Source organism: Homo sapiens, chromosome 13 (assembly GCF_000001405.40).
Source record: "Homo sapiens chromosome 13, GRCh38.p14 Primary Assembly".
Classification (NCBI taxonomy): domain Eukaryota; kingdom Metazoa; phylum Chordata; class Mammalia; order Primates; family Hominidae; genus Homo; species Homo sapiens.
The window spans coordinates 112,201,659-112,225,901 of record NC_000013.11 but is presented as its reverse complement, the minus strand read 5'-3'; the positions used below and the strand labels follow the sequence as shown (position 1 = coordinate 112,225,901).

The 24,243-nt window shown below is 49.5% G+C and overlaps 1 long non-coding RNA gene across 1 annotated transcript, besides 4 other annotated features; it reads left to right on the top strand.

Annotated features, from left to right (window-relative positions):
• Positions 1–12,339: 12,339 nt before the first annotated feature.
• On the top strand, positions 12,340–18,827 carry LOC124903249 (uncharacterized). The gene is made up of 2 exons (XR_007063943.1): positions 12,340–12,822; positions 18,524–18,827. It is a non-coding gene; the product is annotated as an uncharacterized LOC124903249 (long non-coding RNA).
• Positions 13,919–14,810: an enhancer, noted in NCBI's record as "H3K4me1 hESC enhancer chr13:112865406-112866297 (GRCh37/hg19 assembly coordinates)". NCBI's record gives its function as "activates a minimal SCP1, AML or CMV promoter by ChIP-STARR-seq in naive H9 embryonic stem cells {active_cell/tissue: H9 hESC(naive)}" and the evidence as "EXISTENCE:reporter gene assay evidence [ECO:0000049][PMID:30033119]".
• Positions 20,350–21,141: an enhancer, noted in NCBI's record as "H3K4me1 hESC enhancer chr13:112859075-112859866 (GRCh37/hg19 assembly coordinates)". NCBI's record gives its function as "activates a minimal SCP1, AML or CMV promoter by ChIP-STARR-seq in naive H9 embryonic stem cells {active_cell/tissue: H9 hESC(naive)}" and the evidence as "EXISTENCE:reporter gene assay evidence [ECO:0000049][PMID:30033119]".
• Positions 21,936–22,727: an enhancer, noted in NCBI's record as "H3K4me1 hESC enhancer chr13:112857489-112858280 (GRCh37/hg19 assembly coordinates)". NCBI's record gives its function as "activates a minimal SCP1, AML or CMV promoter by ChIP-STARR-seq in naive and primed H9 embryonic stem cells {active_cell/tissue: H9 hESC(naive and primed)}" and the evidence as "EXISTENCE:reporter gene assay evidence [ECO:0000049][PMID:30033119]".
• Positions 22,728–23,521: an enhancer, noted in NCBI's record as "H3K4me1 hESC enhancer chr13:112856695-112857488 (GRCh37/hg19 assembly coordinates)". NCBI's record gives its function as "activates a minimal SCP1, AML or CMV promoter by ChIP-STARR-seq in primed H9 embryonic stem cells {active_cell/tissue: H9 hESC(primed)}" and the evidence as "EXISTENCE:reporter gene assay evidence [ECO:0000049][PMID:30033119]".

Genomic DNA, 24,243 nt, shown 5'->3' with positions numbered 1-24,243 from the left:
TGACCAGAGGACACCAGTCAGCACCTTTGAGCAGTCGCCGTGTGCCAGGTGCTGTGCTGAGCACTTTGTGTCCAAGATCATGTTAAATCCTCACAACAACCATGAGGGGCAGACTCTGTGATTTTCGTCATTTCTCAAAGAAGGAAATTGAGACCTTAAAAGACATAACTGTGTGACACCACACGCAAACATATTTAGGTCTGGTTTGGAAGATTGTGTGCTAATTCTCACATTCTTCTGCCATATGCAGCCACACATGAAATGTACAAATGCTCCAGAGCTCAGGCCTTGGTGACAGGAGCGCCCCTGCAGGTGGGGAGCACTTGGCATTCTAGCGACGGCTCATTTATTAATGATGAACTATCCTGGGAGGTGGGTAATGAGGTCACCACACTGTAAATGAGGACCCTGGAGGGAAGTGAAGTCTTCCAGGTCGTGTGGTCTGGTGACTGGGAGGGCTTGTCCTTGTGTGCCGAGTCGAGTGTCTTTTTATGACTCCTTCGTTATACATCAGAATTGGAAGCAGCAACTTTGTGTTAAGAGAACATGTCGCAGCCAGGGCTTATAAATGAATGGGCTTGGGCAGGGTGTGGTGGTACATGCCTGTAATCCCAGCGCTTTGGGAGGCAGAGGCAGGCAGATCTCTTGAGTCCAGGAGTTCAATACCAGCCGGGCAACATGGCGAAACCCCAGTACTACTACACAAATGCAAACAAACAAACAAAAAAAAAAAGCCAAGTGTGGTGGCGAGTGCCTTTAGTCCCAACTGCTTGAAAGGCGGAGATGGGAGAATCACTTGACCTTGGTAAGTTGAGGCTATAGTGAGCTGTGATCTTGCCACTGCACTCCAGCCTGGGTGACAGAGTGAGACCCTGTATAGTATAAAATAAAAAATAAAAATAAATAAATAAATAAATAAATGTGCGTTATGAGTATAAGACAAAACCATACACACACACACACAAACACATGTATACGCAACACACATACAGACACATAAAGAACACACACAACACATACATGCATATACACATGCATATAAACACATATAAGCATACATACATACACAGAAAAACACACCCATAAGACGCATAACAGTGGAATCTTAAGAAGATGCTAGCCTTGGCACACAGACTCGGTCTCCCAGAAGCACACACACATACACACACATATACGCATATCCCAGAAGCACACACACATACACACACATATACGCATATGCACACATATATGTACATGCATAAACATGCACACACACACACACACATATACACAAATACACCCCCTCCAGCAATGTTCCATGAAAGTGGCAAGTTGGGTGCTAATGAGCAGTGACCTGTCAACAGACACAAAGTGTTTGAATTAGAGAAGTGAAAAAAACAGAATTACATAGCACGCTAAATGTTTAAAAAAAACACTGAGTAACATTTTTTTACATTGGCAAAATTTGATCTTTGTTTTTAACAAGTCATAGAGAAGTTTTATTTATTTTCCTTCAGAACAATGGCCAGAGCGTTGGTGGTGTCGGACACCCATTAAACAGAGTGAGACTCCAAGTTAACACAGAGAAGAACAAAATCGCCTTTATTTTTACCCACGGAAGGAAGAGTGAGGGTTTCAAGTCATATTAGAAGTGCTCTTTGGAGACCCAGCATGGTGGCTCACGCCTGTATTCCCAGCACTTTGGGAGGCCAAGGTGGGTGGATAACCTGAGGTCAGGAGTTCGAGACCAGCCTGGCCACCATAGTGAAACCCCATCTCTACTAAAAGTATAAAAATTAGCCCGGCGTAGTGGTGGGAGCCTGTAATTGCAGCTACTCGGGAGGCTGAGACATGAGAAATGCTTGAACCTGGAAGGCAGAGGTTGCAGTGAGCAGAGTTCACACCACTGTACTCTAGCCTGGGTGACGGAGCGAGACTCCATCCCAAAAAAAAAAAAAAAAAAAAAAAAAAAAAGTGATCTTTGGGTGTAAAACTGATTAGCATGAGGTGGGCAGAGCCAGACTGAGAGCTGAAGTTTCCATGACTCCAGAGTTCTCTTTAGGAAAAAGAAAGCAAAGTGAGACCCAAGTGGGTATGAAAATGGCATTTGTTTAGAGCGAGAAAAGACATCATAGCAATTTATAAATTTTGAAACACTGATAAATACCTAAGACACCATGAAATCAGGGGGATGGTATGAAGTGTCTGACCCGCTCTAACACCCTTTCCCCACTGTTTGGCTGAAGACCCTGATATTTCCTACAGGGAGAAAAATACAAATTAGCCTACTCCTTCTGGTGGATCAGAATTTGTGTTTAATGATTGATCCTTTAGAAAACTTTCTTTTAGTTTTACAACCAGCTCTTGGAACATCTCCTAAATTTTTTAAAGATTGTTAGCAAATTTGGGGAGAACCTCTGTCGAGTTTCTTTCCTGTAAAGAGCTGTAAGTTTTCAGGAAATTTAAAATGTTCCCATTCTGTGAGGAATCCCAATTATTCCTTCAGTTGCCGACTCTCATCACCAATCTGCCATCAATGCATCTCGGAATTTATCGTGGCCCTCACAGAATATCCTGCCAATCTAAGTGGTGTGAATCTTCGAAGCCATGTCACCATGGCTGGGCCCCAGATGTGCCAGCAGCCCTGTGGTCCTCACCTGGCACGGGGAAGTGGCATGGGGGTGGGGGACTGGGTGGGAAGAAACAGACCCTATCCATTACGGCTGCCACACTTTTGTGCCTTGTGGAATCCCATGGGGCTGTGTGCACACGGCCTCGGCCCGATGGACGCGTGGGCTCAAGCTTCCTTAGCTTCCTGCAAATCCGCCCCAGCTTCGGTGACACCAAGCCCACCACGTCCTCTGGGCGGTGTGGCTACTGTGCCCCACTCCCCAGAGTCTCCTCTTGTCTCAGCCCTGATCCTGGCAGTGTTTCCCACGACTTCCTTTGATGTGGAGTCTTTTATTTGGTTCACACATGCAGTCCCATACTGGTAATGTGTCCAGAATTGGTGGGTTCTTGGTCTCACTGACTTCAAGAATGAAGCCGCGGACCCTTGTGGTGAGTGTTACAGCTCTTAGGGTGGCGCGTCTGGAGTCTGTCCCTTCTGATGTTCAGATGTGTTCGGAGTTTCTTCCTTCTGGTGGGTTCATGGTCTCACTGGCTCAGGAGTGAAGCTGCAGACCTTCGCGGTGAGTGTTACAGCTCTTAAGGCAGCGTGTCTGGAGTTGTTCGTTGCTCCCGGTGGGCTCTTGGTCTCGCTGGGCTCAGGAGTGAAGCTGCAGATCTTCGCGGTGAGTCTTACAGCTCATAAAAGCAGCGTGGACCCAAAGAGTGAGCAGTAGCAAGATTTATTGCAAAGAGCGAAAGAACAACGCTTCCACAAAGTGGAAGAGGACCCGAGCGGGTTGCCAATGCTGGCTCGGGCAGCCTGCTTTTTATTCTCTTATCTGGCCCCACCCACATCCTACTGATTCGTAGAGCCCAGTGGCCTGTTTTGTCAGGGTGCTGATTGGTGCGTTTACAATCCCTGAGCTAGACACAAAGGTTCTCCACGTCCCCATCAGATTAGTTAGATACAGAGTTTGGACACACAGGTTCTCCAAGGCCCCACCAGAGCAGCTAGATACAGAGTGTCGATTGGTGCACTCACAAACCTTGAGCTAAACACAGGGTGCTGATTGGTGTATTTACAATCCCTGAGCTACATATAAAGACTCTCCACGTCCCCACCAGACTCAGGAGCCCAGCTGGCTTCACCTAGTGGATCCCACACCGAGGCTGCAGGTGGAGCTGCCTGCCAGTCCTGCGCCGTGCGCTCGCATTCCTCAGCCCTTGGGTGGTCGTTGGGACTGGGTGCCGTGGAGCAGGGGGTAGTGCTCGTCGGGGAGGCTCGGGCTGCACAGGAGCCCATGGAGTGGGTGGGAGGCTCAGGCATGGCGGGCTGCAGGTCCCGAGCCCTGCCCCGCGGGAAGGCAGCTAAGGCCTGACGAGAAATCGAGCGCAGCGCCGGTGGGCTGGCACTGCTGGGGGACCCAGTACACCCTCCGCAGCCACTGGCCCGGGTGCTAAGTCCCTCATTGCCCGGGGCCAGCAGGGCTGACTGGCTGCTCCGAGTGCGGGGCCCGCCAAGCCCACGCCCACCCGGAACTCCAGCTGGCCCGCAAGCGCCGCACGCAGCCCTGGTTCCCGCTCGCGCCTCTCCCTCCACACCTCCCTGCAAGCTGAGGGAGTGGGCTCCTGCCTTGGCCAGCCCAGAAAGGGGCTCCCACAGTGCCGTGGGGGGCTGAAGGGCTCCTCAAATGCCACAAAGTGGGAGCCCAGGCAGGGGAGGTGCCGAGAGCAAGCGAGGGCTCTGAGGACTGCCAGCACGCTGTCACCTCTCAGTAAGAAGAATGACACAGAAGTTGGAGAACGGAATGTAGGGAAAGGGTTATCTTCCTCTCCCATGCTCATTTTAGAAGATGGAGGACAAAGGAGAGAGGAAAGAACACAGGTTGTCGGGTAAAGTGTGCTGTACCCTGTCCCTCTGTCTCTTGTCAGAGAATTTAGGGCTCATAAAATGCCTTGGATTTCAAAGAGCATTGGCTCTAAAGGTAAATTTACCTGTTGCTTTTCTGTAAAATGCCAGGTGGTTTTCTACTGCTAACTAGTGAACAAGCATAAGGTCATGATCCCTCATGACTGCAAATGCAGCTAAAGGGAACCGCTCCATCAATGAGAAAGACAGGAACATCCACGGAGCGTCATCAGACGGCGTTTTCTAGCGAGGCACACGTCACAAGTTCAGAGAGCGTCTTCTACCTAGTCCCTGAACCAAGACAGGAACATCCACAGAGCGTCATCAGACGGCGTGCTCTAGCGAGGCACATGTCACAAGTTCAGAGAGCATCTTCTACCTAGTCCCTGAACGCTGCACAAGGAAGGAAGATTCGTTTTGCAGGAGCAGTGCAAAAGCAAAAAGCAACAAAAGGAAGCCCAATTCTGACGCAGGTTGTTTGATGTGCATGAAGGGGGCAGACGGAAATACAGCAAGTTCTCTTCCACGTTAGCTCCCCTCACATTGGCCCTGGTGCCGTCTTCATGCCTGCTGCAAGCTGAGTGAGGCAGGCCTGCTGTCCTCCCTGGGGCGAGCTTCTCCACTGATTTTCCTTATACCTGGGACCCAAAAATAGATTCCAAAACCTACCAGACATTTTATTGGAGCATAAACAGTGCAAAATAACAGAATTCCACCCTATAGAAAACAGCAGCTGGGGGCCTCACAGGCCAGGCATCTACAATGATGGGATTGCTGACCCTACGTTATCTGCCACGCTTGCAACTTCTCTGGCCAAGCAAGTCTCGGGAGCTGCGAAACAGATGAGGGCAGGAAGGCCAAACCGTCTGCTGGTTTTCCCGCTGACTTCCAGGGTGGTTTCAATCAACGTGCAGGTGCGGCGTTGAGAATGACAGCTCGTCGGCCTGTACGCCTCTCAATAATGAGATTACATCTCATGACAGTGGTGAATTTGACTTTGACATTATGGAATATGAAGCAACCACTGTAACAGGAATTGTTTTTTAAAAAGAAAGAGATGCAAAAAGTAATGGTCATTTATATTAATTTCACCACAGAAATGGTGGCTTGGTATAAGAAAAATTGCATCAAAATTATAATTCTAAGCATAAAACAATGATTAGTATTGCAGTCATTGGAGAAGAAGGCATGCAAAAAAAAATACCACGAACATTTCAGGAGACTATTTTCCTCATATGAAGCTTATTCTTATAATATTACTGCATTTCAAAAAATACAATTTTAGAAAAAAAAATGAACTATAGCTCTTTGCAGTGATAGGCGACAGGTCAGAAAAGCATTTCAGAATAATTTTACACCTTTTAACCTTAAAAAATACTTTGCTGACAATTGAGAAAGGGCCTTAAAAGAAGCTCTGATAGGCATTCTCACAGCGGGGTTGCCTGTCCCATCACAGGGCTGGCGTCTGCATAATGCACCCCATAATAAGACGTGCGCTGCAGATCACAAGGCGGAGGAGAGGCTTTAAGAGTCAGCCTTGGCAAGAGCCGCTATTAGTCATGACACTGAAAGTTTGTTGCATAAAACTCTTGGGAAGACATAAAGGAGGTAAACTGTTTAAAATTTTGATTTGAGCTGGGAAAGAACGACTTTGTCACAGGATTTTTGTCTGCATTTAAATATAGATTTAGCATTTCTGGTTTTCATTTCTGCTCATGCTTGGACAGTCTGGTTAAATGGAAACTCCACACTGCTTTGCTAAATGAATGGCACTGTCCTCGGATTCTATTGCTCAAAGCGGTAATTGTTAGAAAACTGTGGTAACAATTACTGGTGATAATTACGAATGCTAATAACGATGGCTGGTAGTTATATGTTTCCCAGTTGCAAATCCCGGTCAAATTTAGGGGAAACTCAGCAATATTTCGTCGTAACAAAAACAAAAAAACCATCCATCAAGGAATGATACACCCTGAAGTCATCTTTTAATGCCATTATAAAAGGGATGGATTCTGAGTCAGGTGAAACTTGCCTCCTGGAACTGTAGCGGGAAAAGAGAGGAAAGAGGAAGACAATAGGATTTCTTGTGACTTTCAACAAAAATCTCACTAAACACAAGAGAGGCGAAAGGAGATGGGAAAGACTTGCTTCTAAGCAAGTTTTCTTTTCCTTACCTAGAGACCAAATTCATGATGTTTTTAGTTGTCCTGGGGATTGCTTTCAGCTGTGCTTTGTTTAAGACGGACACTGTTCCTGTCTCAGGTGAGGTCACTTTAATTAGAACAGCGCTGACCTCGGGACTGGATTTGACTAGCTACTCAAACACAGTGCCTTTTATTGTTTTAGAGATATTCAGAGATGAAAGAAGTAATTGGCTGTCGGGTCTGGATCCTACTTGAATCACGCTTTAGTAGGATGCAGAGAAGTTGCAGCTAATTCTTTCTTTTTGTCTTTCTTTCTTTCTTTCTTTCTTTCTTTCTTTCTTTCTTTCTTTCTTTCTTTTTCTTTCTCTCTCTCTCTCTTTCTTTCTTTCTTCTCTTTCCCTCTCTCCCTCCCTCCCTTCCTTCCTTCCTCTCCTCTCCTCTCTCTTTTTTCTTTCTATCATCCTTTATCCTTCTTATTTTTAACTTTTCCAGTTTGGGTGACAGTTTCTCTTTCAAGTCATACAAAAGACTTTCCACATTTTCTTATTCTGGCTCCATGTGGCCACTCTCTGAGCAGTCGTCCTTGGGAACATGAAGTGAACTTGGTGCCTCTCGGGAAAGGACTTTCTCCTGCTCCGCTGTCTGTGAAGATGATGGAGGTGCCAGGGCCTGGCTGGCAACATCCATGTCCCATGAGGCGTTTGCTCCAGAACGAGCACTTTGCTTCTCTTTGGCAACTAGTTCAATTAACAGAGGGTTCTGTAAATTTTAAACGGAGAAACAGGGACCCAGCAGGGTGAAAAGGAATCCACTTTTGGTGGGAGAAGACAGTGCTGCTATGGGGTTGCCCTGAATGGGTTGAGGGGTTTGCCCACACCACTGGCAGAGGAGGGCCTCTGAACTTTGTGTTGTTCTGCTGCCAAGAGAAGGAAACTGGTGAAGAAGATCTGCGATTTTACAAAATGATAGGTTATTGTTCTTTGTTATTTATGTTCTATTTAGTAAGTTGTTTTATATGCTGTTCTATAGATTCAGGCAGTTTTCAATGCCTAAAATGGCTCTATCCCACCCCTGAAATATATATTTTGCATATGATTTCATTTTTTATTCTCAAAGTTCAAATTCTACATGTTTTGGTCAAACGTGGAGACGTGAATTTGACTTGTGGCGTTGACTATTGAGAAATAGTCAACTAAGTGACTGGAAATAGCAATTTTTAACCACTTCGTGGAGGCTGTGTGAATGTCACCCTAATCAGATGAAGCGCTGACTGACAAGATTTATGACAGTCACAAAAAAGTCCTGGCATCTCAGCTTTCCACAGTGTGCGGACCACGGTGGTTACCGTGGTAATTAGTATTTTCCAGAAAAATTCATCAATTTTCCTCATATTGTCAGGGAGCCCCAGATACCCATGCATATGTGCAAACACACACTAACATGCACGTGCATGCATAGCAACACACCTGCACCACACGTGCACACATGCAAACACACAAACACATATATGCATGCATAGCAACACACACATGCACACACACTTGCACACGTGCAGACACAAACACATGCATACCAACACACATGCACCCACACGTGCACACATGCAAACACACACAAACACACATGTGCATGCATATCAACACACATGCACACACATGCACACATTCAGACACAAACAAGTGCATGAATACCAACACACACATGCACCCACATGTGCACACATGCAAACACGCACTTGCACGCATATCAGCACATGTGTGTACACATGTGTGCACACCTGCAAACACACGTGTGCAAGACACCCTGATAGGAAACCCTCTATGACCTGCCGGGGTCTCCAGCTCAGCTTTCCCTCTTGGAGCAGGTCGGGAGCAGCACACTCACTCACACTTGCTGGAGTGGAGAAACTGCAGCTGCATGCACCAGGTCATTCTTTGCTAATATCTTTATTTTCCAGAGAAATGAAAATGATGCATTACACTTAGTATCTATTCTCTGAGAATTCGCAGATACTGAACATGCCAGTTTGCTCTGACAGCAGTCTAATCTCATGAATAGTCTCCGTGTTGTTAGTGAAGACACGAAAGGAAAATCACTGGGGATCAGTCTTTTCTCAGGGCTAAGCTCCGTGCACGGGCCAATGACCAGAGAAAGAAGGGGCACCTCCAGTTTGTCAGTTCTTCTCCTATTTGCCCTCCATTTCTAATGTCAAACTCACCCCGTCACTTTCTGACACCTCTCACCATGTCAGAAGTAGAGAGAGAATTGGCCGGACTTGTTTCTTAGTAGAAAGTGCAGGATTTGGGGTGCTCATACATGTTTATGAATCATTTTTATTTGCTAACAGCATATAATTTTGACAGAATCACTTGGATGAACAATTAGCTTCAGGAGGCGAAGCTCTGACAAGGGCCCATAGGTCAATGGTTGGTCGTGCACCCTCATTGTGGGTATTTTCAATGCTCTCCCTGCTCTGTGGCCTCGCCCCTCCTCTTCCCCGTCTAATGCCTGGGGACTTGAGGGAGCTCAAAAGTGACATAAGCATGAGTAACTTTCTTTATGTACTTTTCTGTATTTTTCCCAATATTTTAAAGGATATCCATTACTTTTCTCTCCCAGTAATTTTAATGTAAAAAAATAACACAATTAAAAAAACCCAGATTTTTCTCCTACAATCGTTTGTCTCTCCTGCCACTGTGGACCAGACGCTCTCAGTGCGGCCAGCGAGGCCGTGGGTTCAGCAGGAACTTCCCTGCTTGCATTTTCTCTTTCCAGAAATGTCTCCTGCTCCTTTCACGCCATGTGTTTTCTCAGCCCGTTGCCTCGGCTTGTACCATCCTCTTCCACCTGGAATCCTGTCCTCCACCTGACCAACTCTGCAGAGACTTCAGGACCCAGCTGAGAACGGTTCCTCCAGGTCCTGGGGTCCTCCACTCCCTCATCCCCCGGCCCACAATCCCCTGGGCACCCACACTGGGACGCTGATTCCATCTCGAAGGCACTGTGGTGTCAGCTGTGAAGGCTTGCATTCCCTGACACCCGGGAAGGGGCCTCGTTCTCCCCCAGCAGGGCCCTAGAAATAAGCGGATTCATCACCTTAGCCTCAGCGTGAGCTTCGAAGCACACGCTCTGAACAGAACCTCCTGGACACAATGCGTGGGGGAGGCCCATCGCCCGGCCAAGGCGTCCTTGAGACCCCAGGAGGGAGTCAGATTCCTGCTCCGAAGGGCCTGCAGGCCCTGGAGCACCCGGACCTCGGCTCCTGACAGCAAGCAGTGGATGTACCCGTGCAGGGGATCCGCTGCCATTCCAAGGATCCCGCTGGCGTGCCACTCGGTTTTTCTCTGCAGATAACCTGGAAACTGGGAGATTTGTACAGATTTGAATGTTGACTTCATCAGCCCCGCCTCTCAAAAACTGCATGTACTTGAAATAAGAGTGAAAAACAATGGCATTGGAAGCCAGACTCCAGAAATCAACCAGAACGGACCTGTTAATGGGTTCTGGTGGCGGTGGAGATGAGAACATGCCTTTTTTTCTTTGAACATTGCAATAGGAGAAATGACACATGGGTAAGGAGCTCTTTTTCTCCCGCTCCTGAAAGGAACAAGGCCCACCTGACACTGGTCACTGGTGTTTCCCTATTCACAAAACGGGGATGGAAAAATCAGCCCCACCAGAGAAGAGCTAGGGTGCCTTGAGACTCCACAGTCAGACACCCAGCAAGGTACAGAGAAGGCAGGAGAGGAGCACAGCTCAGTGCTTCCTGCTCAGCCCTCTCCATCTCCCTCCCCACTCCAGCCCTCACCATCTCCCTCCCTGCCCCCCTTCAGCTCTCTCCATTTTCCTCCTCTCCAACCCTGACCATCTCCCTCCCTCCTCCCTTCCAGCCCTCCCCATCTCCCTCCCCACTCCAGCCCTCACCATCTCCCTTCTCCCCTCCAGCCCTCCCCATCTCCCTCCCTCCTCCAGTCCCCCCCACTTCCCTCCTCTCCAGCCCTGACCATCTCCCTCCCTCCCCCCTTCAGCCCTCTCCATCTCCCTCCTCTCCAGCCCTGACCATCTCCCTCCCTCCCCCCTTCAGCCCTCTCCATCTCCCTCCTCTCCAGCCCTGACCATCTCCCTCCCTCCCCCCTTCAGCCCTCTCCATCTCCCTCCTCTCCAGCCCTGACCATCTCCCTCCCTCCCCCCTTCAGCCCTCTCCATCTCCCTCCTCTCCAGCCCTGACCATCTCCCTCCCTCCCCCCTTCAGCCCTCTCCATCTCCCTCCTCTCCAGCCCTGACCATCTCCCTTCGCCCCTCCAGCCCTCACCATAACCCACCTCTCCTCCAGCCCTCCCCATCTCCCTCCTCCCCTCCAGGCCTCCCCATCTCCCTCCTCTCTTCATCTCTTCCCATGTCCCTCCTCCCCTCCAGCCCTCACCATCTCTCTCCCCGCCCCCAGTTCTCACCATCTCCCTCCTCCCCTCCAGGTCTCCCCATCTCCCTCCTCCCTTCCAGCCCTCACCATCTCCCTCCTCCCCTCCAGCTCTCACCATCTCTCTCCCTCCTCCAGCCCTCACCATCTCTCTCCCTCCTCCAGCCCTCACCATCCCCCTCCTCCCCTCCAGCCCTCACCATCCCCCTCCTCCCCTCCAGCCTTCGCCTTTCCCTTCCTTCCTCTCCTTCAGGATCTGCTGGAACACTGGGCAGGCCAAAAGACAGCTGTATGTAATGGAGAGGTAAGTGTGTATCTCAGGTATCTGAAACCCCCATTGGTAATTGAGTGAAACAGTTCCTTTGAGCTCTGTGCACAGTGCCCTTGGTCCTGTTTCTGGGCTCTCTGATGGCCTCCTACAGGCCTCAGCTCTGCAGAACTTGATTTTATCTTTTACTTTATTTGTGCAGCTGACTCAGGAACAATGCAATTAAGTTAAACTCTGTGGACATTGGAGAATCTTCTGCACAGAGGGGTTTAAACGGAGTGCTGGTGAAGGTGAGGACTGGGGTTATATGTCTACATGTTTGGATCAGGTGTGTATTTGGGGAAGGAGCTCAGACCACAGGTGCCTGAGTCAGCCCACCAGGGCTAAGTCCCAGCTCTGCCACTGAGTCCGTGAGCCCATGGGCCCATCTCCCTGTGGAGCTAAGGAAGGCACACCTGTGCCCATCTTTTCATGGGAGCTCAGAAATACCCCGCGGAAGTGCGGAGGTTGCATCCAGAATGTGACAGTGTGGGCGCACGCAGGGCATGAGCCTGGACCCCACCTCGCCCTCGTCTGCACGGGGAAAGGAGGCATGGAGAAAGCAATGGCAGGGCCTGCGAGGAGAGCCTGATGGAACCCAGCCCCGCCATCGCAGTGGCCCTGAAGCCCCTGGCTGGCTGTGGCCAGGCAAGGAAGGCAGGAGCGGCGGTCTTTCGTCCTGCTCTGTGGTCTTTGGGGCCGAATGCAGTCTGTGGCACATGTGGGGCGAGGCAATGGATGATGTGCCATGAGGGAGGCTCCGTCTAGGACATTCCCATCAGACACAGTGGGTGGTGGCAGCCGCAGGGCCCGGCAGGACTGAGGTCATTGTTGGCAGGTGCCCCACACCTGCAGGGGGCAGTGACTGACATGAGGCAGGAGCGCCTTATGTCAACCTTGATGGCGTCATTCATTTGAGATCAAATTCCAGTTAATGCTATTATATTTACACACATCGCACACTGCTGTTGAGGGATGTGTGGGCACATTTCCCTTGTGCTATCCAGGAAGGGCTAATGATTGGAAGGAAAACGTCAGCCCTTCTCAAGCAGCAAAATAACAGCACCTTCTGTTTCCCCTGAATCCACATGAGTGTGGTGCTGTGAAAGAGGTCGCTGGCTGGTGTTGAGGGTGCCTCCGTGCCAGGGAGCACTCAAAGCTACAGACATTCACCTGCGAATGGTCATGGACCTGACCGGCTGTTTTCTCTGCATTTCTCCCCTGGCTAAAGATGTGTTGCTGGGTAAAGTGATTCTCAGACTTGACCTCCTGCTGCCCTGCTCCCACCCTGGAATGGAGCAGGTGCCAGGTGGACATGGCTGCAGGTGCTGTGGGAGGTGAGTCGTGCAGCCACAGGGGAAAACGTTTCAGGATCCAGTGTCCGTCCTTCAAAGTTGCTTCTAACAAGGAAACCGCTGCCTAATCACCGGCACCTGTCAAATTGGAATCTCAGGTATGAAAATTTCCCAAGGACCCACCTAATCCAGGTTCCTTTCCCTAAAGCAAATAGGGGGGCAAATATAGTCAAAGCCTCACACCATTCCCTTAAGTTTTTTAAACCAAGACTCCTCTAATCAGCTCAATATAAAAAGAATGATTTTCAGAAAACTTCCTATTAATTCAAAAGTCAGAGCAGGTAGATCCCCAGTGACTGGCACGAATTAGCTGTCCGTTAACCATTATAGAAATGCAACTGAAAATCATGATTAAAAAGGGGGATTGTGTCACTTAACTCAATGTCCACCAGTTATATCTATGTTGCAAAAAAATAGGATTTCATCCTTTTTTATGGCTGAATAGTATTCCACTGGGTATACAGACCACATGTTTTTTGTTCATTCATCTGTTGCATGGTAGGGTGACTATAGTTAATAATATTGTGTTGTACGTTTCAAAATAACTAGAAGAGAGGATTTTGGATATTCACGCCACAAAGATATAATAAATGTTTGAGATGATGCATAAGCTAATTATCCTGACTGATCATTACACAACGTTTGCATGGATTGAAGCATCACACTGTACCCCATAAATAAGTACAATGATTATGTGTCAATTAAAAATAAAATAGAGCTTAAAGAAGAAGAGGGCTGGAGCGCAGTGGTGTGCACAGGTGGTCTGCCTGGGCCATAGTGCTGATGGCATTCCCCGGGCCCTCCCAGACTCTGAGAGTGAATGCCGGCTCATTGGATCTGCAGCCAACACACCGTGGCCCTCACTGATTTTTGTTGCAACACCCATTCAGTCACTGAAGCATTCACTCATTCATTGATTCAAGTAGCCATCGTGTATATTAAACTTCCCTTTTTTGTGCAAGTTCAATTTGACTTCTGGCCTCTAGACTAGACCATTGCTCAGCAGCCTGGAGACCCTGTTCCATTCTTTGGAAACGTTTAATGAACATTTATTTAACAAATATTTGATGAAACCATACCAAGATCTCATTTTTCATCTATCAGATACAAATTTAAACACATGAAACATATTCTGTTTGCTCACACATTGCTTATGGCGAAATGGCACAACCACTGTGGAGTGAATGAGGCAGGTTCTTGGAAAATCCCATGCCCTGTTTCTAAGAATCTGTTTCGAAGATAGACTGGCAAAAATAAAAGTGCCATAGGCATGGCTTATTTGTCACACTATCTGTAACAGCAAAACACTAAAAGCAGAACAAAAAGCCAAAACAAAGAACCCACACCTGTAAACCACCCTCATATCCATCAGGAGGGGATGTGTGAAGATGCTGTATTTATTCACACATTGGACACAGCGGAGGATGCCCAATCTGCTGCCATTTACACGAGAGGGGAGGCAGCTACGCAGACCAATGCAGATATATTTGTTTTATACTAAAAACCCAGTGAAAGAATTAAACCATAACGTAGAATTTCAAGGTGATTACTTACAGGGGGTGGTGGAAATAGGGTAGAGAGGTCGAAAGCAGAGGCTGGACTTCTCTCAGAACACCCTGCTGTGTAGACAGTGCTGGGAAGGGGCGAGGTTTCCGGAGGCCCCACTCATTCTCAGGCCAGCAGGGACACAGCCTGCGAGCCCAGCCGCGCCTCCTTAAATCAAAAACCAAATCCATTATTTGACCTTGGAACTATGTAAAGATTGTGCATAATTATCAAACATGATTAAGTTTTAAAAGTCCTAAAAATCAAAAGCAAAATGAAACAGATGAGCATGTGTATGTATTGAGTTAGTCACCACCACACACAGAGAGAAGGCCTTTTCCAGTGACTTTAACAGTCAGTAATTTAACTGTGGCATCCCTACTGGGATACATTCTAAGGACAAAAAGAACTGCAACAGAATCTTAAACAGTGTCTTTAAGTGATCATATTGTTGGTGGTAGTGTAGGTACTACATCTCCGAGGTTCTCTGTGTGTGTGTGTGAATGAGTGTTTTACTTTTAGAGATGCGTACCATAACGTTGATGGATGAAACAATACTGTGTGAGATTTTATTAAAATAACACAGGAGGCTTTGGAGCAGAATTAGGTAGGAGTAGAGTCGAAGGAGGCGGCTATAAGATGGTAATTATGACGCTGGGTGATGAGTATGCGTGAATTTTTTTGTACTTTTCTCTCTACTTTTGGTCACGCCTGCTTTTTCTGTAATAAACATTAAAGACACTTGTTGAGGGTCATCCTGTCCGAGTGCTGGTCTGGGATGCAAGGCTTTTATTTCAACCAGCGTTTCTGACTCTAGACTCTCACACGGCGTAAATATCTCTGCCTCACACCCATGCCCAGGCGTGCTGTCTGCGTGGTGCCTCTGTGTACACTGGGGGTCCCTGCACTCAACCCCACAGGCTCACGCCCACCACTGCCCACCTCAGGCGCCCAAGAACCTGCCCAGATCACCCACTGTAAGCAACAGGAACCGAGCTAGTAGCATCACTTTCTTCCTTATCAAGTAACTAATCACCAGCCGTGGCACTGCTAGGAATTTAGCACAATGTCAAGCCCAGCTGGAGAACTCATCGAGGCGTGGCCCTGACTGTCTCTGCATGAGTAAGCAGTGGCCAGGCTCCTAGACCTTCTCCTAGGCCATCCGTGCGCTTCCTTGTAAAATCCAGTTTTGCCAAAAATCCCTGCAAAGTCAGTTTAGCAAGGACTCCACCCTCGATGTCTGAGATGTCTCCTGGGCCTCCTCTGCCTCCACCATTCCCGGTGATATCAGCACCCCGCCTGCCCCCTGACTGCACCCCAACTGCTCCCCGCCTGCCCCTGACTGCACCCTAACCACCCCCTGCCTGCACCCCACCTGCCCCCTGCCTGCACCCCACCTGCCTACTGCCTGCACCCCATCTGCCCCATGCCTGCACCCCACCTGCCCCCTGCCTGCACCCCGCCTGCCCCCTGCCTGCACCCCACCTGCCCCCTGCCTGCACCCCGCCTGCCCCCTGCCTGCACCCCACCTGCCCCCTGCCTGCACCCCGCCTGCCCCCTGCCTGCACCCCACCTGCCCCATGCCTGCACCCCACCTGCCCCCTGCCTGCACCCTGCCTGCCCCCTGCCTGCACCCCGCCTGCCCCCTGCCTGCCCACTGCCTGCACTCCGCCTGTCCCCCGCCTGCCCCCTGACTGTATCCCAACTGCCCCTGCCTGCACCCCGCCTGCACCTCACCTGCCCCCTGCCTGCACCTCACCTGCACCCCACCCACACCCCGCCTGCCCCCTGCCTGCACCCTGCCTGCCCCCTGCCTGCACCCCACCTGCACCCTGCCTGCCTTCCACAGGAACCCCACTAGGTCTCCTTCATCTCCAACGCTCCCTCTTAGTCATCTTCCAGACGCTGCAGGGGCCCCGGCTCTGGGGTCTTCCCACCGATACTGCTTCTCCCCGTGCCGTTCTTTGGAGCCAGCTTAGTGCGTCCCTGTGTTCTCAGACCAGGGCCTCCTGGGTACATCATTCAGCAACTGGCTCAGTTAAAACAAGAAAGGAGAAGCTGCCATGGGCTCCCTCACTCAGAGCCATCCATTCTCATGCACAGTCGAGACAGGGGATGCCCCCGGGAGCCCGTGGAAGGTGGCAATGCCAGGCCTTGGAGAGGCAGGAGGCCGGACTCGACCCCAGAGGTGGGGACCCGGACTCTGGACTGGACTGAGGTCTGGCTGAAATAGGGAAGAGGCAAGAGCACCTCTCCACGGGACGTGCCCACCCATCCCGTGTCAGTTTACCATCGCCACGGCAACACCAGGACCACTCCCAAGTTACCATTCTTATTCTAGACATTTCTGTGTAATCTGCCCCTAATTTGCAGTCATTAAAAGCCCCACTTTAGGGTCTGTCTGCCCTGCGCCCCCGCGACCCATATGCACTCTGGACCCTGAAATTTACCCAAAGGTAAATGCTTATGATATCAAAACTGGATCTCCTACACCATGTTCTATATTAGGGGGAACCATAGTGAGTAACCACCACATTTTAGAGGAGAGGAAGCAGAGCCTAAATTTAAATAAATTAAGGAGATGTAGGAGGTGCTGTAACAACAAACTGAGTGACTTCCACAGCAGCGTTTGATTCTCTCCCAGCTCCGGAGGTCCCCCAAGTGCAAGACCAGGGTGTGGGCACGACCCGCTCCTGTGGGGCCTCCGAGGGTCTGTCCCAGTCTCTCCCAGCTCCCAGCTCCTCCGAGGGTCTGCCCCAGCCTACCCCAGCTCCCAGCTCCTCCGAGGGTCTGCCCCAGCCTCCCCCAGCTCCCAGCTCCTGTGGGGCCTCCAAGTGTCCACCCCAGCCTCTCCCAGCTCCTGGAGCTGCCTGCTGTCCCTGGTGGTCCCTGGCTCGTAGCTGCACCCCTGCAACCTCTGCCTCCCACATCACATGGTTTTCTCCTCTGTGTCCAATTTCCTCTTTGTATGAATTCACCAGTTATATTGAATTAGGGCCCATCCTACTCCACTATGACCGCATCTCCATGAATCACCTCTGCAGCAATCCTATGCCCAAATACACTTCCCGCCTTATCCCCAGGTTCTGCATTTATGGATTCAACCAGCTGCAGATCGAACATACTAACAACAATAAAAATAATACAGATAAAAAATTAACACAAAGCAACAACTATTGACACATCATGTACACTGTATTAGGTACTGTAAGTATTCCAGAGCTGATTTAAAGCACACAGGAGGAGGCGCACAGGTTATATGGAAAACCATGCCATTCTATACAAGGGCCTTGGGCATCCATGGGTTTACACCTGAGGGGTTCCTTGGACCAGTCTCCTTCGAGTGCCAGGGAAGAACTGTGAAGCCTCATTCTGAGCTGCCTGGGCTCGGACTTCAACTGTGGATTTTAGAGGGACGCAGTCCAGCCTGGGAAAGGAAGTTACAGATGGAGACGCCACCGGGAGGTGGTCGGCGAAGCTGGGATGGGAATTAAGCTGCAGAGTGTAACATTTCTTTGGGTGAGGGCGCCAGACAAGAACCTCTGAATTGGCACGCAGGGCTGTCGGTGTCGGTGAGACTTACACGTTTATAGTGAGAATTCTTCCCAGAAAGGGTGACCAATAACACTGAAAAAAATAACATAACCATGGCTTTCCTTGGAGTATTTAAAAATATTCTTTGTCCATTTACGATGACCCGGAATTTCACACCATCTGCTGGACGTGAAATGAAACCCAGAAAGTGAAAGGGGAAGAGACGACGGTCTGCAGGCTTCAGGGCCCAGCCGTGGGCCCAGGTCCATGTGGCTGCTGCCTTCCCTTTCCGTGCTGTGCGTAGCCTCCTCTTCTCTGACCGCTACCCCGCACCCCCTCTCATTTCCTCCCTACTTTCCATGGGGTCTCACTTTATTTGGATGACTTTCTGGGGAAGTTGGGTGGGTACCCAAAAACAGAGGCATTTTCAGCATGGAAAAAGCCCTTAAAACTAACACTTCAGTTCATTTGAATAAAAAAATCCCCAAAGATATCAAAGGCTCTGAAATGATATCATCTACCTAAATATGACGCTTAGAAAATCTGTGGGGATGATGCCTAGAAGCCCTCTAGAAACGCCGCTGTGGACAAGGGCACCCCAACTGTACTAGTGAAAAGTCAGCACAAAAGTAGATTAACGAGCAAGAGAGTGAGGAATTAATGCCTTTCTTGCTATGTTTCACAGCACACTTAATTGCCCTTCAAATTCTTCCTTCACAGCCATCAGCCTGTAAGCTGGATCTGGGAGGCTTTGTTTCTGGAGACTTCTGCTTTCTTTGGAAGGCAGGCTCAAACCTGATCCTCTATACAACGGTCCCGAGTTAAATCTGGCCAGTCTGAAAAGCCAGCCATGCTGGCGAGTGCATGAAAATCCTGCTTCAAAGGCAGAGAGCCGGGCTCCACGCGACATTCCGCACCTTCCTCAGGGTGGCTTCTCCTTCTCCCTGGCCTCGTACCCTAGAACTTAAAGTATAATAAAAAAATAAAAAATAAAAAAGGAAGAAAACCTGCATCATCAATGAAAGAAACGTCTAGTTTGTCTAATTCTATTGTTTATCTTTATTTTTCTATTTTTCTCTGTCCCTGAATTTTAAAACTTGTTTTCCCGTGTATAGATAGCAGCTCTGAACACTGAAATTCTGAGATTATGTTGAGAAAGACAACCAGTAAAAAAAACCAACAAGAAGCTTCAGTAGCAAAATGTTAAGGGTGCATTTTTCGGTTTCATTCAGTATTTCTAGTCTCTTTAACAGTAAACCTAAGAAATTACCTCCTGCAATAGAAGTAGCATTGATAAAAAAAATAATGTTTGCAACTTCTCCTGAGTTTGAAGAAGTACAAGAAAATTTAATGTGGATGAATACAATTCCTGAATCTTTTTTTAAAAAGGAAAACTGTTCATGATGATATATTTGCAAAACCTTCCAAAAATGAGTTTTGTTAGAGAATAATACACTCCTGTACTCTGTATTTTAAGTTTCATAAAACAAGGCATAAACTTTTAAAGATTATTTTAGAGGTTTTCCGGAAAATATGCGAGATAATTGCCTTTCTCCTACGCAAAACTAAGCTCACTGCCTTGTGCTTTTTGTGACAAATTATAAGTAATAGAACAAAGCCTTCAAAACTGCCATTGTAGCAGAAGAGCGTTTGGAACAAGAACATAGACTATGGGTGGGAATAGTGGTTTTAGTTTTAAAACTATTTACACACAGAAATTTTATTAAAACCTGCTTTTTTCTCATACAAAATAAAAGTGTGAACCGGGAATCTGTCAGGTGCGTCCTGCTCCGCCAGCAGGCATCTGGAAGAAATCACCTCGCCTTTCGTCACTCAATTTCTCTCTAAATTGTACCTGTAAGCAGACTAGAATTATGCTGTTTATTGGCAACACAAAGAGTGCTCGGCGGAAACAGAACTTGCCCGCAGCAGCCACTTTCAGTAAGGAAGCTCGGCGGATCTTCTAACCACTCCTGGTGCAGAGTGCATGTCGATCACCCATTATCTGTCCCACAGACACGGGGGACATGATTATTCTCCTGAGGAACCCAGGGCCATGGCTGCATTCTTATTTTTAAAGTAAAGTGACTTATAGTTAATTTTTTAAAACACCTTTTTATTTTAAGGGGAGAAAAGGACATTTTGCTCTCACAACAGAGAGTGACCTTTTGTTGTCTGAAAGCTCTGTATTAAATCATCTGAAGCTCCTATTTATTTATTAATTTGGGGATTGTCATTGGTACTGTTCTGCCTTGACAAGGATTTTTTTAAATTAGTATTCCAAATAAATGAACACAAACACACGAATTAGTTATTTGAACTTAAAACATGTGTTCTTATGAAGTAGAAACTTCACGAAATAAATTCACACTGTGTTGCAGTTTCTCTTTTCCAAACTTCAGTGTTACCAAATGTTGTTTTCCTCAGGTTATTTTCGGAAACGCTTTTCATTATTCTAGGAAACTTGATGAGCTTGTGTGTTCCGGCACTTCCTCGGGGGATGGTGAGGGCGGCCTCAAGGTGCTTAGAGGATGAGAGAGACCCTCTTCCCTCTGCGGGTGCACTTTCTCAGGTTGGACAGATGGTTCATTCATGGCTTTTAATACTTCCTTGAACTTTCTTTATTGCAAATCAGATGCGACTGCTGAACGAATCTCTACTCCCGCTGGAAGGCTTGGTGCCTCATTCCTTTGAAACAACAGGTCACTTCTCAACTATGATTTGGCTTTAACCTGAAATGATCTTTGTGCATTGTGAAGACTTGCTTCCCGCCGGACTTCCAGCTCTGATTTCCCCTCCTCAGAGCAGGGTTCAGCGCATAGCCACTTTCTTCCCACACACACAAGAAAATGAAACACACTTCTGCGCTCAGGAAAAGCACCCTTCCTGCCCTTGTGTGGACGATTCTGGAGCAGAACCTATTGTCTCGGTTTGCAAAGCACAAAGGAGGTCACCGATGGATCGCATCAGGGTGGAGGTGTGCCCCAGATGAGGTCAGAATATTTGCAGCAGAAGAATGGCAGCTCTCCCTGGCCAGGAGCGGGCCTGCCGCTTCTGTGCTCCTGACTCCTCCCCACATTCTTCTGGTCCGGTTCCCACAGACAGACAGGGCGCGGGAGGTCAGAGTGGACGGAACAAAGGGGACCCCCTGCGGCGAGGCCTTGCTGGGCTGTCAGCACCAGTAATTCATGAGCGCACCTTTCATCTCCATGAGGATCCATGAGGGGTTAAACAGAGACCCATTTTACAGCTGACAAGATTGAAGGGGCTAAGGAGCGGCAGGGAGGCAAAACACCCTAAAATTCATAGTATTCCAACCACCTGCTAAAAATAGATCCGTGCAGGTTCTCCTTTCATTTCTCCCCACATAATGGGATCTGTGTTTCAGAGGCAGCATAATAAACAGGCAATGCACGGTCCGGGGGTATTTACACATTGTGTGGTTAGAGAAGGAGAGAGGAAGAACCGGTGGAAACAGAAAAAAATGATGCAAAACGGCAGCTCCAGCTCCTGGAGGGCACGGGGCTTTGGACAGCTCACCCACAGCTTGGAGGCCAGCTGCGCATCTGAGCCTCGCCACAGCCAAGCAGAAAGGAAGACCTTACAAAGCACGAATGTGGAAATGGAGTGCGCACTGCAACATCTGACAGCGTGCACGTGTGTGCGTGTGTTAGTTGTGTGTGTGCGTGTGCCGTGTCGACAGGAGGAAGAGCAGTACACAGGGAAGGAGCCACATGTGGCTTTTGAGAGATTTCATTTGTAACAGGGCTTCCCCAGCGACTCCTAATGTCTGTTCTGAAACCATCAAATGAATTTAACATACGTTTTAACTGATGAAGGACATGTCTCCAAAATAATTCCATCGAATTTTATTTTAATCAATAGGGCCATCACCTTCTGTGAGGGGGATTTTCTTAGTATTTCTGGGTGGTGTTTTAAAGGAAGTTGAAGAAGGTGGTCTCCCAGTGCAGCAACATTTGTAAAAGGAAGCCACAGGGCATAGTGTGTTCATGTGTGTTTGTGTGTGCACACATGTGTGCCCATTTGTGCATGCATGTGTATGTGTGCACTAGTGCATGCCCATGTGTGTGCTGTGCATATGCAGGTGTGCACTTATGTGTGTGTGTGTGTTGTGCATGCACATATATGTTGCCTTATGGGGCACATGTGATTGCATGCATGCGTGTTTGTGCTTGTGCATATATGTGTGTGCACATGTGTATGTGTGTGTGCTTGTGTTATGCATGCACATGCATGTTGTATGTATGGGCACACATGTGTGTTTGTATATATGTACATGTGCTTGTGTGCATGTATGCATGTGCATATGTGTGCGTGTGCTTATGTACATGTGTCTGTGTTTGTGTGTGTTTTAGCTGTTAGTTTAACCCAGGGCAGGGTGGAGGTCCCCTCACTCACACGTAGATTTGGACTTGCCCTTGGCATGCCCCGCGGGGCTGTGCGGAATCCCAGTCTTTGGTGTGGTGTGTTCAGCAGCTCGTGGGTGCTGCCCGGGGGCATGGTCCCCTAAGGAAAGTGTGCTCAGGGCCTGACAGCTCTGTTGCTCACGGGGGCGTTTGTCCATCACTGACTCCGAATTTGCTGAGTTTTCAGAGCAGCTGCACAGCCCTGGCAGGCACTTCCCCAGTACATCGCGGCTCCCCTGAGCCTCAGGACTTCACTGCACAAAGCCCCTGTTTTCTGCCTGCTACGTCCTCACGTTGGGGACACTGCTGATAAAACGACAGAGGACAAGCATTGTGCTTCCTGTCTTCTTGGCAGAAAGGACTGGACAAGGAGGCCAGCAGGAGGGACCCACTTGCTCTTCCTGCTGGCAGTGATTTCTCTCAAGTGCGTGGATCTTCACCCATTCCGTTCCCAGAGGCCTCTCTGCGATCCCTTCCATGGGAGCCCACTCCTGCTCAGCCTGCATAGCTACTTCCATTTCTTCTGGAAGGCCCCACAGCCTTCGTGAAGCGACATTAGGCACACAGTGGGCTTTTTGGTGTGGATACACAGGCATGTGTTAGGGATGCTTGGTCAGCAGGGAAGCTAAGGAAAAAGTTGAGCAGAGATATTTGGGACGGAAGCTCTAGGATGAATGGCGACCCCCACACCCGGCTCTGCCACGGGGTCCTTGGGGTCAGGTGGGCCCGGCTCCAGCAGGGCAGGCCCCTCGGGTCCTTTGTGCTGCAGCAAAGCTCCCGCCTGCAGTGGAGGCTGTGGGAGGTGGTACCTTCTCCACACCGCCCCACCCCTTTGTCATCCATGGAATCCTCGCTGGTTGCTTAGAGAGGAGGATTTTTAGGGGTGAGTGCCCAGGACTCAGATGTGGGAGCTGCGGAGTGAAGATCAAAGGCACCCCTGTGGTCCGCGTGTCCCGTGTGAGTGGCGGCCAGTGGACAGCCAGCCTGTGAGTGGAAGCCCTGCCTCTGCGTCCCTTCGCAGTTCAGAGTCTCGAGGACCGCCCGAGACCCAGGCTAATGCTGCTGAGGCCAGGGAGCTTTGAGGACAGTGTGTTTCCAGCAGCTCAGCTTTCCCTGTGCCAGGTGGGATGGGGGAATGGAGATGGACGTGCTGGGTGGGCGAGGGGCAGCAATCTGGACAAGCCCCCACTTCACCCTTCAGTGTCCCCTCCAGGAGCCAAGCCAACTGTCACTAAGACGCCACCGCATCACACGCCCAGCTTGCGGAGGTGCCACCTGGCTGCGGATTTGAGCAATGTGACGGTCCTCTGGACACTGGAGCATGGCACACCACGGTGGTCTCCGCTTGCCCTTTCCCCTTCATGCCGACGCAAAGAAACGCATCTCTGCACAGACGCCCCTTCTTAGAAGCATCCAGAGCTCCTGAGCACTGGCTCACGCTCCCCTGGCCTGGCATCTGCAGCTGAGCTCATCCACCAAGACCCTCAGGGACTCATGGTCCCTTTGGGGCAGCCCCTCCCCAGAAGCCTGCCCTGGGTCTCTTTCACGGCGGCTGTCCGGGACACTTCATTGGTGGCAGAGATTCTTAGGAAGAACATTTGTGACCCAACCACCAAATGAGAGGGGTGCTGGCCACTGCAGACCTGGGAGGAAGGGCTCTGGCTTGCAGAGGTGTCTGTGCCAGTTCACCCCTCAGAGGTGAAGAACTTGGTGCCACCCTGCCTTGGCTGAGAGGGCAGAGAAGGGCCTGAATGATGCCACAGGTCTCCAGTGGGGAGATCATCTCCCTTGCCCCGTGTCCCTCTCGTGGGCCCAAACAAATGACAGGCCCAGCTTCCAATGTGCACACAGGCTGTGGGGTGGCCAACTGCCCCGGGATGGCCTCTGTTTCCCCCTCGGTGCGGTGATGGTGGAGAAGGCCTTTCACTTGCGGGCAGAGCATGGGAGTCAGCAGAGGAGACTAACTTTAAAGGCCCCTTGTGTGTTCCCGGCTGTGTGACTGTGGGCAGTCCC